Genomic DNA, 13,238 nt, shown 5'->3' with positions numbered 1-13,238 from the left:
CTGCCATGTCCCAGCCTGTGTCCTGGCACGACAGTAAAGGCGTTCCATAGAACTGCAATAACAAGCCTAGTCAACTCAACAACTGATGCATATTTTAAATACTTAAGCTTGTGTCAAAATAAACAAAAAGAATTTCATTATCTGTAATAAACTATCTAGAGATGTTCCTCTATACTCGAGAATTCCTTGAGAACAAGAATCATTTACCTTCAAGTTCCCAATGCACAGAGGAGGAAGAAGCTCAATGCGCGCAGGTTGAAAAGCTTCATCTCTGAAGTACACCCATAAAAACCCATGTGTCTAGTTTTGATCTATTTGGAAGATTATGAAACATATTTCCAGAATTATTATTGCTTACTCTTCTTTTTTTGCAATTTCCCATGGCAAATTTTTACTTCTATATCCAGAAATATATTTTCTAAACTTTTTTTGTACATTGTTCTACACTGAAATGACAGGATTTCAATTCTGTAAAGACTTTCTGAAAGTCATTTCACAGCAAAAAATCTTGGTTCCATAAACCACGTTAAGTGATCCTAACACTACTTTACAAAGGCCCTGTGTTTAAACTGTGTAGAATGTTTTCTTTCCTCCAACGTCATGTTCTGCCTTCTCTGCATATGACTTGACAAGGTGATTCGCTTGACTTGAGCGAAATGCTAATAAAGCCCAGAACAAGATTCTGACCTCCCAAATCAGCAGTTTAGCGCCACTCAGTTTCTTGGCACAAGACTATGGCTCTAGCTTTGATCCCATTCATGAATTCACTCTGCCTTTACTAAGCCCCTACTCGGCCTCTGCTGAGTCAGCTTGGCTCAGCCCTGTGTGGCAATACACAGATTGATGAATAACTGATGGTCACCTAATCCAGTAGGAGAGACAGATGTATGAACAGATAAACTGTAGTATCAACCCTTCAGTAATATAATGGTACACAAGGTGGGAACTGACAGGAGAGAGAGAACCTGACAATTGTCCCCTTTTAGTTACAGATAGGATTCGGGTGGTGTGCAGATGGAATCATTCTTACTAAAAACCACTCAGATTAGACAACCTATCAGGGGATCAGTACTATCATGTCCCCAAAAGGAAGAAGCAATTTTTAAAAGTCTACTGTCATGTACTATGTTTCTGAATAAGTTGTAAAAAATAAAAAACTTAAAATATTTGAAGCACCAGTTACTTTTAAATAATAAATGAAGTTGTATATTAGGTGAACTCAGTGTCTTAGTAGCATGTCTTCTACCCAAGCATAATGAACTATTATAACTGCCAGAATCAGTAACTGATTAACCCTACTAAATGTGAGATTCAAATAGTTGTGCTTCCCACTATCACACCCATACCCCAAAACACGAGAGACTAGCAACCACGGTAAAAGTACTTGGCAATTACCTGCTTGAAAATTATTCCTTTTTCAACTACCAATCCATATTAGTAAGCTATTAATCAATACTAATATTAAAGAAACAAAATTCAATCCTAGACATTACAAACTATAAAAGTTCTATTAGGCCATATGGTCTTTTATCTCTTCCCTTCATATTCTAGGCAAAGATTACTCTAAAATTTTTAAGAGTATCTGTTTTTCTGTTTGCACATCCAAAAATATATGCCATCTTTTTATAGGATTACCATCTGTCTCGTGCCTAAGTAAATGTTCTGAATTAGTTTTACTGCTTTTCTAATTGTAAAATTTTAAGTTTATACATATACTTGAAAATGTATATAAAGTTTCAAGGGAAAAAGCTTTAGACATAAACTTTATCCATATGGGTAAAGGATAACTTCTTCAAATAATTTCAACCTTTTCTTAAATGACTTGAGGTAGTCATGTCTGTCAGTCATCATAACACATAATGAAAAAATTAAAAAGATCAAACAACTACTTAACCTTCAATAAACAAAACAGCTTTATTATCCCCATTTTATAAAATGAGGAAACTGGTTATCAGAGAGACTGGAATTTGCCCAACAAAGTTAAACAATTTGCTACTAGCAACAGCAGATCCAGAATCTGAACCTGGCTGTTTATTTGCAAAGCTCACATTCTTCCCCTATGCCAACCTGTCCTACCTGTCATTCTACTGCTTACATCAGTGGTTCTCAAACATTCTGGTCTCAGAACCCCTTTATTCTCTTAAAAATTATTGGAAGACAGGAAGAAGCATTGTTTATGTGGGTTGCATCTCTTGAAATGTACCCTACTAGAAAATAAAACCGAGAGGCGGGGCATGATGGCTCACTTCTGTAATCCCAGCACTTTGGGAGGCCGAGGCGGATCACCTGAGGTCAGGAGTTGGAGACCAGCCTGGCCAACGTGGTGAAACCCCATCTCTACTAAAAATACAAAAAAAAAAAAAAAAAAATAGCCAGGCATGGTGGCGTGTGCCTGTAATCCCAGCTACTCAGGAGGCTGAGGCAGAAGAATTGCTTGAGACTGGGAGGCAGAGGTTGCAGTGAGCCAAGATTGCGCCACTGCACTCCAGCCTGGGCAACAAGAGCGAAAACTCTGTCAAAAAAAAAAAAAAAAAAAAAAAAAACTGAGAAAATTTGTTATTTATTTATTTATTGAAGACACAGAATCAGAGTCTCGCTGTGTTGGCCAGGCTAGAGTGCAGTGGTATGATCTCGGCTCACTGCAGCCTCAACCTCCTGGGTTCAAGAGATCCTCCCACCTCAGCCTCCTGAGCAGTTGGTACTATAGGCACGCACCACCACGCCTGGCTAATTTTGTCTACTTTTTGTAGAGATGAGGTCTATGTTGCCCGGGCTGGTCTTGAACTCCTGGCCTCAAGCAATCCTCCTACCTCAGCTTCCCAAAGTGCTGGGATTACAGGTATGAGCCACTATGCCCAGCCTAATTTTATATTTATTTTAAAATGACAATATACTCATTACATGTTAACATAAATAACATTTTCATGAATGATAATAAAAATCAGTGAAAGTGGTACCACATGACATTACTGTAAATCTCTTCTGCCTGACTAAAGGAAGACAGCTAGACTCTCATATCTACTTCTGCACTGAATCTGTTACAGTACAGTAGCCCTCTCTTATCTGCAAGGGATACATCCCAGGATCCCCTGTGGATTCCTGAAACCACATATAGTACAGAACCCTATATCAAGTATACTTTGCTTTTTTCCTATACACACATACCTATGATAAAGTTTAATTTTTAAGTTAGGTACAGTAAGAGATTAATAACTATAACTAATAATAAAATTAAACAATTATAGCAAAATATTGTAATAAAAGCTATGAGAATGTGGACTCTCTCTCTCGCAAAATATCTTACTGTACTGCACTTAGCTGTCTTCAGATGACTATCGACTGTGGTAATTGAAACTGTGCATAGGGGACTACCTGTAAGAAGAAAATTCAGCCTCCTCCAGATACATAGTTGGAAAAAGGAACAATATATTTTATTTAATAACCTTTTCATATAACTATGGATATTTTTCTTTGATACTATATCAAAACTCAATGAATAATAGTTTCTTAATGATAAATTGCCCTGTAAAATCTAAAACCATAACACAAAATTTTTTTACTCTATAACATTCAAACCCATTGGTCATGCCTATAATCCCAGCACTCTGGGAAGCTGAGGTGGGTGGAACACTTGAGGCCAGGAGTTCGAGACCAGCCTGGCCAACATGGTGAAACCCCGTCTCTACTAAAAATATCAACATTAGCCAGGCATTATGGCTCACACCTATAATCCCAGCTACTCTGGAGGCTGAAGGAGAATCACTTGAGCCCAGGAAGCAGAGACTGCAGTGAGCTGAGATCACACCACTGCACTCCAGCCTGGGCAACAAGCAAGACTCCATCTCAAAAAAAAAAAGAAACTTTGAATTTTATCACTGGCAATAATACTGTCATTTGTTTTTAATGAAGTGACAGACTCATGTTGATTATTTATGGGAAAATATCTGTTAAAACACATGGAATAATCATGTGTGTCTGTCGATCGTTGTTTTTAGTAAAAGTGGTTATTTCACAGAAAAAAAGGAGCTAGTTAGCTAGTGTAGCCAGCAATTCAAACAAGCGCTTCCCCTGGAGACACTCTTCCTTCTTCAGTATGTACTGGAAAGTGTCTTTGAAATATTCACATTTCATAAAAAGAATTTTAGAAAGATGTAAGCTCAGGGTGAAGATTTCATAAAATTAATTTTTATAGCTTCATCAATGGCATCCGTAAGTATAACCAATTTTTTTTTTTTTTTTTTTTTTTTACTGAAGTGCTTGGTTCTTACTAAAGAACATACGACTATTACTACATTTACTATTACAGTTTGGTGCCGCTGCCTTGACTCATGGTAAGGCATCATCAGTTTTATCATCCATCATTGCTTTCTGTACCATCAGTAAAAAAGACAAATGATGTTTCAGGATTATGATGAAAGAGGATCCACAGACCAGAGCCACAGGCTTAAATTATCTGTGAAGGCAATTTAAGAGAACAAAAAGAAAGACTTTAACATAAAGCAAAGAATCCACATAAAAAGTTAATAGCGTTGTAAATCTCTCTCTACACCATAAGCTGCATTGTCAATTTCTGAACCTGCATGGTTCATGTACTTTCATCTCAGTTTCTTAGATTCTACTCCACCGCTCCTAAACCTGTGAGAACACTATTTGCCATTCCCTTAGGAAAAAAAGGAAAAATAAAAAAGAGATACCAAAGTCTTCCCAGAAAGGGAGAATAGAAAAAGAAAGAATAGAACAGACCATATAATAAAAAAGAATTACAATACAAATACAACATGAAATATGGTAAGATGTAGGCTCCAAAATGTTTGTTATACCAATACATATAAATGGAGTAAATTCAACTATTAGACAAAATTTCCTTTCTTTCTTTCTTCTTTTCTCTTCTCTTTTTTCTTTTCTTTTCTTTTTTTTGTGAGACGGAATCTTGCTCGCGTCGCCCAGGCTGGAGTGCAATGGCACCATCTCGGCTCACTGAAACCTCTGTCTCTCAGTTTCAAGTGATTCTCCTGCCTCAGCCTCCTGAGTAGCTGGGATTATAGGCGCCCACCACCACACCTGGCTAATTATTCTATTTTTAGTAGAGACAGGGTTTTGCCATGTTGGCCAGGCTGGTCTCAAACTCCTGACCTTGTGATCCACCCGCTTTGGCCTCCCAAAGTGCTGGGATTACAGGCGTGAGCCACCACGTCCGGCCTAGAAGAAAAACATTTTAAGATCTGATTAAAAAAAAAAAACAACAATAATATGTTATATATGGAAAGGACACACTAAAATTATCTCAGAAAGTTTCAAAATATCATAAAATCTCTCCAGTATTTCCACTCTTTCCAACTATTCTCTTCTTCACTGTGCCTGCGATTTTCTTATGCTACCAGCTAGTTGTACTAAGTGTGTTCTACTTGAGATCAGGAATGTTTTCAGTAGTGGTCATGACTGTATCTCCAACACCAAAGACAGCTCCCGGGCATGGGTGATGCTCAGATGCAAACTTTTTTTTGTATTTAAATTCATTATGCAATTTAAACATATGAACAAATAAGAATATTTTTGAAAATTATTTATATAAAAATAGTGCAAATTGATTTAGAAATAATAAATAAATGCAGGTGGCTAAAAATGTTTTCTGCAGAATCACGTACAGGCAAAAAGACTAGGGAAACATTCCTTTAAAAAAAAACTATATAATAAATAATAGGCCAGGTACAGTGGTTCACGCCTGTCATCCCAGCACTTTGGGATGCTGAGGCAGGTGGATCACTTGAGGTCAGGCGTTCGAGGGCCAGTCCGGCCAACATGCTGAAACTCCATCTCTACCAAAAATTACAAAAATTAGCTGGGTGTGATAGTGTGTGCTTGCAGTTCAAGCTACTCAGGAGGCTAAGGTGGGAGGACTGCTTGAACCCTGGAGGCAGAGGTTGCAGTGAGCCAAGATCACACCATGCACACCCACACACCAACCTGGGTGACCGAGTGTAGGGCCCTGTCTCAAACAAACAAACAAAACGATGTTGGTGTGAATGTGGTAAAAAGGGAACAGTTCTACACTGTTGGCGGGAATGTAAACTAGAACCACTACGGAAAACTGGAAATTCCGTAAAGAACTAAAAGTAGCTCTACCATTTCATCCAGCAATCCCACTACTAGGTATCTACCCAGAGGGAAAAAAAAAAAATTGTACTGGCACACACATAGCAGCACGATTCACAACTGCAAAAATATGGAATGAGCCCAACGTCCATCAACCAATGAGTGGATAAAGAAAATGTGGTGTGTGTGTGTGTGTGTGTGTGTGTGTATGTATATATGAAGTGTGTATATATACGTATATATGTATGTATATATGTATGTATATATGTGTATATATGTATGTATATATGTGTATATATGTATCTATATATGTATGTGTATACACACACACACACACACACACCATGGAATACTACTTAGCTATAAAAAGGAATGAAAGAATGGCATTCACAACAACCTGAATGGAAGTAACTAACTTCCATTCTAAGTGAAGTAACTAACTCTGGAATGGAAAATCAAACATCGTATGTTCTCACTTATAAGTGCGAGCTAAGTTATGAGGATGCAAAGGCATAAGAATGATACAATGGACTTTGCAGACTCAGGGGAAAGTGTGGGAGGGGGTGAGGGATAAAAGACTACACACTCGGTACAATGTACACTGCTCAGGTGATGGCTGAACCCAAATCTCAGAAATCACCACTAAAGAACTTCCATGTAACCAAAAACCACCTGTTCCCCAAAAACTTATTGAAATAAAAAATACATTATAAAAAATAAGTAAATTCCACTATGCTACCTTGAAAAAAATAACTGGGCCTTTGTATAAAGATTGCTTTGCAAAGGCAATTAAACTTCTAATTATACTTAAAAGAAGTGCTAAACTAGAAATCCTAGACATATTATGTAAGGATATAGAGTGTATCATTTAGACTGATACAGAGTTCAGTCAATAGACATTTAAAGAAAACACACTGGTCCTACATTTAGAAATTAATGAAAGAGTGTATTTACTTGTTTTAATTTAAAATAAAATGTTTAAAGTACACGAGTCCCTAGTTTAGTGAAGTTTTTCAATTAACTGAAAAATTCAATTCTGAAAAATTTTGAAGAAAAAAAAGAGTCCTCTAACAGAAAAAAATGGAAAAAGGCATAGGCTGGCAACAAGGAAGCTAGAGTAACAATGGTAAGATGGCACTGCATTCAAGATAAACTGGTCAAACAAAATGAAAAGGGGCACATTATGAAAAGTATAATTCATAATATAATGAAGAAAAAAATCTGCCAAAAATCTTTGAACATAAAATGGAACAGCATTAAAATGTCTCTTTCAGCCCAGGAAAATGAAGTAAACAAAAATGAAGAATATAGCAAATTTAAATTACAAAATTAATTTATCTTTTAGACATATGGGATTCTGTACCCTAAAAACTGAGAACACATCTCCTTTTCAAGAACTTATGGAATAGTTACTAAAGGCCCCAATGAAAACCTTCATAAATTTTAAAAGTCAGAGAGAACTCCTTAATTAACCACAAGGCAATAAAAGTAAATAGGACAAACAAAAAAAAATTAATTAAATTAAAATCAAACATCTTTAAATGACTCAAGTCAGAGACAAAATCTCAAAGTGAACACAAATGTATACTAACATAATGAAAATGCTACATATCAGCCGGGCGAGGTGGCTCATGCCTGTAATCCCAGCACTTTGGGAGGTCGAGGCGGGCGGATCACTTGAGGTTAGGAGCTCAAGACCAGCCTGGCCAACATGCTGAAACCCTGTCTCTACTAAAAATAAAAAATTCGCTGGGCGTGGTGGCAGGAGTGAGGCTGAGGCAAGAGAATCGCTTAAACCCAGGAGACGGAGGTTGCAGTGAGCCAAGATCGCGCCACTGCACTCCAGCCTGGGCAACAAAAGCGAAACTCCATCTCAAAAAAAACCACAAAAACAAAAACAAAAAAACATATCAAAATATATGTGATTCTGCAAGACCCTAAAACTGGGTCCACAGAAAAATTCAAAGATTTAAACACTTACAAAACTACCTGGTAAGGAATTAAAAGAAATAAATTATGCATTCAATTCAAGAAGTCGCTAATTATAAACCCCCAGCCAGCAAAAGAAAAATCAGAAAAAATAAAGATAAAAGCACAAATTAATGAATTAGAAAATAAAAAGTAACAGCATTAAACATTACAAGAGTTGATTCTTTGATTATGCAAGAGAAAACTCAATTGGTAAACAACTAGCTGGCATAATCAAGAAAGGGAATGTGCTTATACAAAATCAGAAATAGAGCAATAACCACACATGCATGAGGAATCAAAATGTGTAAAACTACTTTGAAAATTCTATGAAAATTAATTTGAAACTCAGATGAAAAGGATAATTTTATAGCAAAATATATATCATCAAAATTTGCAGCAGAAGACACAGAAATCCAAAAGAAGCTAATAATTGTCAAGGAAACTGAGAAAGTGATCAAGGAGCTACCATGGCTCTTTTTCCTTCAGGAGAAAGAAAAAAGGGGAGGACAATAAAGACATAGGTCCAAAATTCACAACACACTTCAGAGCACACAGAAAACAGAAAGCTCCCAAATTTATTGTTGAGGTCAAAAGTATACTGATACCAAAATTTGACAAAGACGACCAAAAAAAAGAAAAATCAAACTGATCTCACTTATGAACATTGAAGTACAAACCGTAAATACCAGCAAACATTGGGAGTGGTAGGGAGAAAACAATTCAACTAGATAAGGTATATCCTGGGATTGCTAACGTGGCTCTAATTTGGAAGTTTATTAATATATATTACCTTAGATCAAAGGAGTAAAATAATATGATCATAGCTATGAGTCACAAGAAGGATCTGAAAAAATACTAAACATCAATTCCTGACACCCCAAACCCATTGTAAAATAGGAATAGACATATATATATATATATATATACACACAAAATCAGAGCTGTAATGAAGAAATGCTGAAAGCCAGCAACGAGGACATCAATTGTATTATTAATTAGAATTATTCCCAACATATTAGCCAATGAATTAGACAAGAAATAAATATAAATATTGGAAAGGAGAGGACAAAATTATCCTTATGAAATGATTAAACATCTGAAAATTCAATAGATGCAGCTGAACAACAGGTATGTTCTGAGAAATATGTCGTTAGGTGATTTTGTCACTGAGCAAACATAGAGTGGATTTACACAAACTGTGATTGTATAGCTTACCTAGGCTTTATGGTATAGCCTATTGCTTCTAGGCCACAAACCTGTAAAGCATGTTACTGTTCTAAATATTGTAGGCAATGTAACACAGTGGTAAGTATTTGTGTATCTAAACATATCTAAAGAAAGAAAGGGTAGAGTAAAAATATGGTATTATAATCCTATAGGACCACATTACACACTCGGTTCATCATAGACTAAACTGTCATTTTGCAGGGCATGACTGTATCAGGGGGAAAAAAAAGGAACTCAGTCAAGTGACCAATTACAAAATTCATACGTACAAGTCACTAGAAATTCTATAACTTTTTTATTTTTAGTTTTGAGATGGGGTCTCACTCTGTCGCCCAGGCTGGAGTGTGGTGGTGCCATCTCAGCTCACTGCAACCTCTGACTCCCGGGTTCAAGCGATTCTCCTGCCTCAGCCTCCCGAGTAGCTGGCATTACAGGTGTGTGCCACCACACCCGGCTAATTTTTGTGGATTCTATAATTTTAAGAAGCAGATAAGAAAACATAATAAAAGACTAGATCCTATTTATAACAGCTTCAAAAAAGGTGAAATAATAGCAAATGTAAAACTACATGAAACACTTTAAAACTCCTCAGAGAATCATAATAGATCAAATATACATAGACACATCTTGTTCTCAGGTAAAACAATCCAATCCTGTCAAAATATTGACTCGAGATCCCAAGAAAACATCAATAATGCTTTTTCAAGAAAGTCAACAAAATGACAGTGAACTTTGTTATGCAAACAACGAAAAGAGAAAAATTCTAAAAGACTAACTGAAGGAGAATGAGCTACATGACATATTAAAACATGCTGCAACAGCTTAACGCTAGAGGAGGGAAATGACAGAATAGAAAGTCAAGAAATAGACCAAGAGACATATGGGAAGAGTCTGTCATCAAGAAGACATCTTAAGACCACCAGGGATAGGTGAACTATCAATGAATGATGATGAGTAGGTGGGAGAAACTTTCGGGACTAGTGGGTCCAGCAGGGCTCTTACTTAATTTCTTGTATCAAAATGAAATCCAGAAACATCAAATATATAAATATTTATTTTTAAAAAATATAAAAGTTGGAGAAAAATATTTTTTAGAAGGCTTGCACTGCAGAAGGCCTTCTAATACATAACATAAAACCTTGAATCCATAAAAGAATAAATCTGACAATGCAAAATGTACAAATTTCTTGATAACCAAAAAATGGCATAAAGAAAGCAAAAAATAGAGAAAAACTGCAAATATATATGACAAAGGATTAATGTTGTAACATAAACTGTGCTGTTAGAAATCAGTAAGAGAAAGGCAAACAATTCTATAAGCAAACGGGCAAAGCACAGAAACAAACATCACACAAAAAGAATGATGAAAAGGAAGAAGAAAGGTAATAAGAAAGAAATCACAAAAGCAAGAGGGAGAACACAAATTCAAGCGGCCAATCAATAACCTAAAATATTCTCAATTCATTCATCATTAAAAAATCCATGGACCCGGTGTGGTGGCTCACGCCTGTAATCCCAGCACTTTGGGAGGCTGAAGCAGGTGGATCACGAGGTCAAGAGTTCGAGACCAGCCCGGCCAACATGGTGAAAGCCTGTCTCTACTAAGAATACAAAAATTAGCCAGGCATGGTGGCGCGTGGCACTTGCCTGTAATCCCAGCTACTCAGGAGGGCTGAGGCAGGAGAATTGCTTGAACCCGGGAGGCGGAGTTTGCAGTGAGCCAAGATCACGCCACTGCACTCCAGCCTGGGCAACAGAGGAAGACTCCATCTCAAAAAAAAAAAAAAAAAAAATCCAAAGAATTTTGGCGTAATGGAAATTGTTCTATATCTTGATTGTGGTGGTGTTTACGTAACTGAATGCATTTGTCAAAACTCAACAAAATACAACTAAAAAAGGTGATTTCACTGTATGCAAATTATATCTCAATTTTTAAAATTCATTGAAAAGGAAATTCAAACCAAAACAAGATAACCTCTTCATCTGAGTCTGAAAAACTTAAATTAGTAACACTTAATGTTGGGAAAAGCATCCTGAACTGAGCACTCATAACTCATGATTGAAGTAAATTGGTAAAACTTTGTAAAAGATGATTTGAAAATATTTATCAAAAATTTAAATTGATATACACCTAACCAAGTAATTATGCTACTAATGATTTGTTCTTTGGATATATACTCATGCCAAAAACAAAGACATATGGACAACAATGTTCCTTATTGCATTAATTGAAAAAAAAACAAAACAAAAAGCAAACATTACTTGATCATTGACCTAATATTGGTAAATACAGACCACATATTGGCCTACTATGTGCCAAGTCTTTGTTATAACCCTGTTAAGTTTGGTACTGTGCACTGTGGAACCAGACTGCGTAAGTTCACGTACTATATTCTGGCTCCACCACTGAATAATTTTGTGATCTTAGACATATCAGCACCCATCACTCAGGCTAGTTGTGAGGTTTAAATGCATTAATATATGTGATGTTTTTAAAACAATGTCTGGCTTATATTAGGCTACACAGATGTTTGCAGCTAGCAAAAGTAGTAGTACTAATATTCTCAATGTATAGATGGGGAAGCTGAAATACAGAGAGGTTAAGGAACTTGCCTAAAGTCACACAACTGATTTTAGAGCTCACTTCCCTACACGAAACATTTACTGCATAATTCATTTTGGCAAAAATGTGGAACCTAAATGTCAGGAAGCAACAATAACCATAAAAAAAAATCATCAGACTAGTTTAATAAATGATAATCAATACAAGGGAATGTTGTAGAGATAAAGCGAGATGCCCACTACACATTATTGGGGAAAGAAGCTATAAAACTAAATGCAAAGATCATCTCATTTGTATATATATTTATATGCCTAAAGTGCATAGTAAATGTTTCAAAATATATACAAGTAACAGCGATTACATCTCTAGTGAACAGTAAAAAGGATCAGGAAGTTGACTTTTATTTTCTGTATTAGACTTTTCTGTAACCATCGAGCCGATTTTACATTACTACAAAATGACCACTCCACCCCATCAAGTGTTCAGGTACAATTTAAGGTAAAATAAGGCACTCTAAGTAAAAAAACCCTGTCTCTGTGTTTCAGTTACTTGGTATCATGAAAAGCAGGTCCGTGATGCTCTCAGGGCCAAAGGTATAAACAACTTTCCTTAATCCATCTCCCATAAGCCTTCCCAAACTGTTGGAATTGTTCCTCGCTTTTAATCTCATGAAGCAAAGTATCAGCCTCATGCCTTGCCTCATTCCAAGTACCTCATTTCAGCCTTTTGCTTCCCTCTTCAAGCAATAGCAAAAACACAAGGATGAAAGATGAACTCATTACCTTCTAGGATCTTAGATTCTAGTGTAGAATACATTGGGGAACATCTGCAGGAGACTGTGAGAAGTGCTCTAAGAGAAACATATTTCAGAATGCCATCAGCACTCAGAGCCACACCTAACTCAGACCAGGAGGAATGAGGGAAGGCTTTCTAACATTAAGGCTGCTACTTCTGCTGCTGCTCCAACCGCCACTCACTTGGAGGTTATGCACTAACAAATGTTATGTTTAACTTCTTGAATCCTCATAAGAGCTCTACTTGGAAGACACTATTTTTATCTCCGTTTTATAGAAGAGCAAACTGAACCTTAGTTTAATAATTTGCCCAAAGTCACAAAAGAAGTTACCAAGGAATGGATACAAGTGCTGAACCCTTGGTGCATAATTCAGAAACTGCCATGTTACTTGAATGTGCACTCACTTAACATCAGGCATGGCAACACAGAACCTCATGATTAAGAGCATAGACAGGAGACGGGAGACGAGAGTCCACATTGCAACTACTATTTCCTAATGACCTTGGACATCCATGTCTCAGTCTCCTCATGTGAAAATGGGGATAAAAGCAGTATATACCTAGGGGATTCACTTCTGGCATGATGGAA

The 13,238-nt window shown here is 36.6% G+C and overlaps 1 protein-coding gene across 10 annotated transcripts in view; it reads right to left on the bottom strand.

Moving 5' to 3' along the window:
* The window catches only part of SOCS6 (suppressor of cytokine signaling 6), a 41,155-nt gene that overhangs the window by 6,344 nt on the left and 21,573 nt on the right, over positions 1 to 13,238 (bottom strand). The window contains exon 1 of one of the 10 annotated variants that reach the window (XM_017026086.2): positions 9,561 to 9,757. The exons of 7 other annotated variants lie outside the window; for them this stretch is intronic. The gene's annotated coding sequence lies outside the window, so the exon portion shown is untranslated. Of the gene's footprint in view, positions 1 to 207; positions 2,254 to 9,560; positions 9,758 to 13,238 lie in introns of those variants that run through there. 2 more of the 10 variants (XM_047437938.1, XM_047437939.1) reach the window with 2 other exon arrangements.

Source organism: Homo sapiens, chromosome 18 (assembly GCF_000001405.40).
Source record: "Homo sapiens chromosome 18, GRCh38.p14 Primary Assembly".
NCBI classification, from domain to species: Eukaryota; Metazoa; Chordata; class Mammalia; order Primates; family Hominidae; genus Homo; species Homo sapiens.
This window is presented reverse-complemented; position numbering and strand designations above follow the sequence as displayed.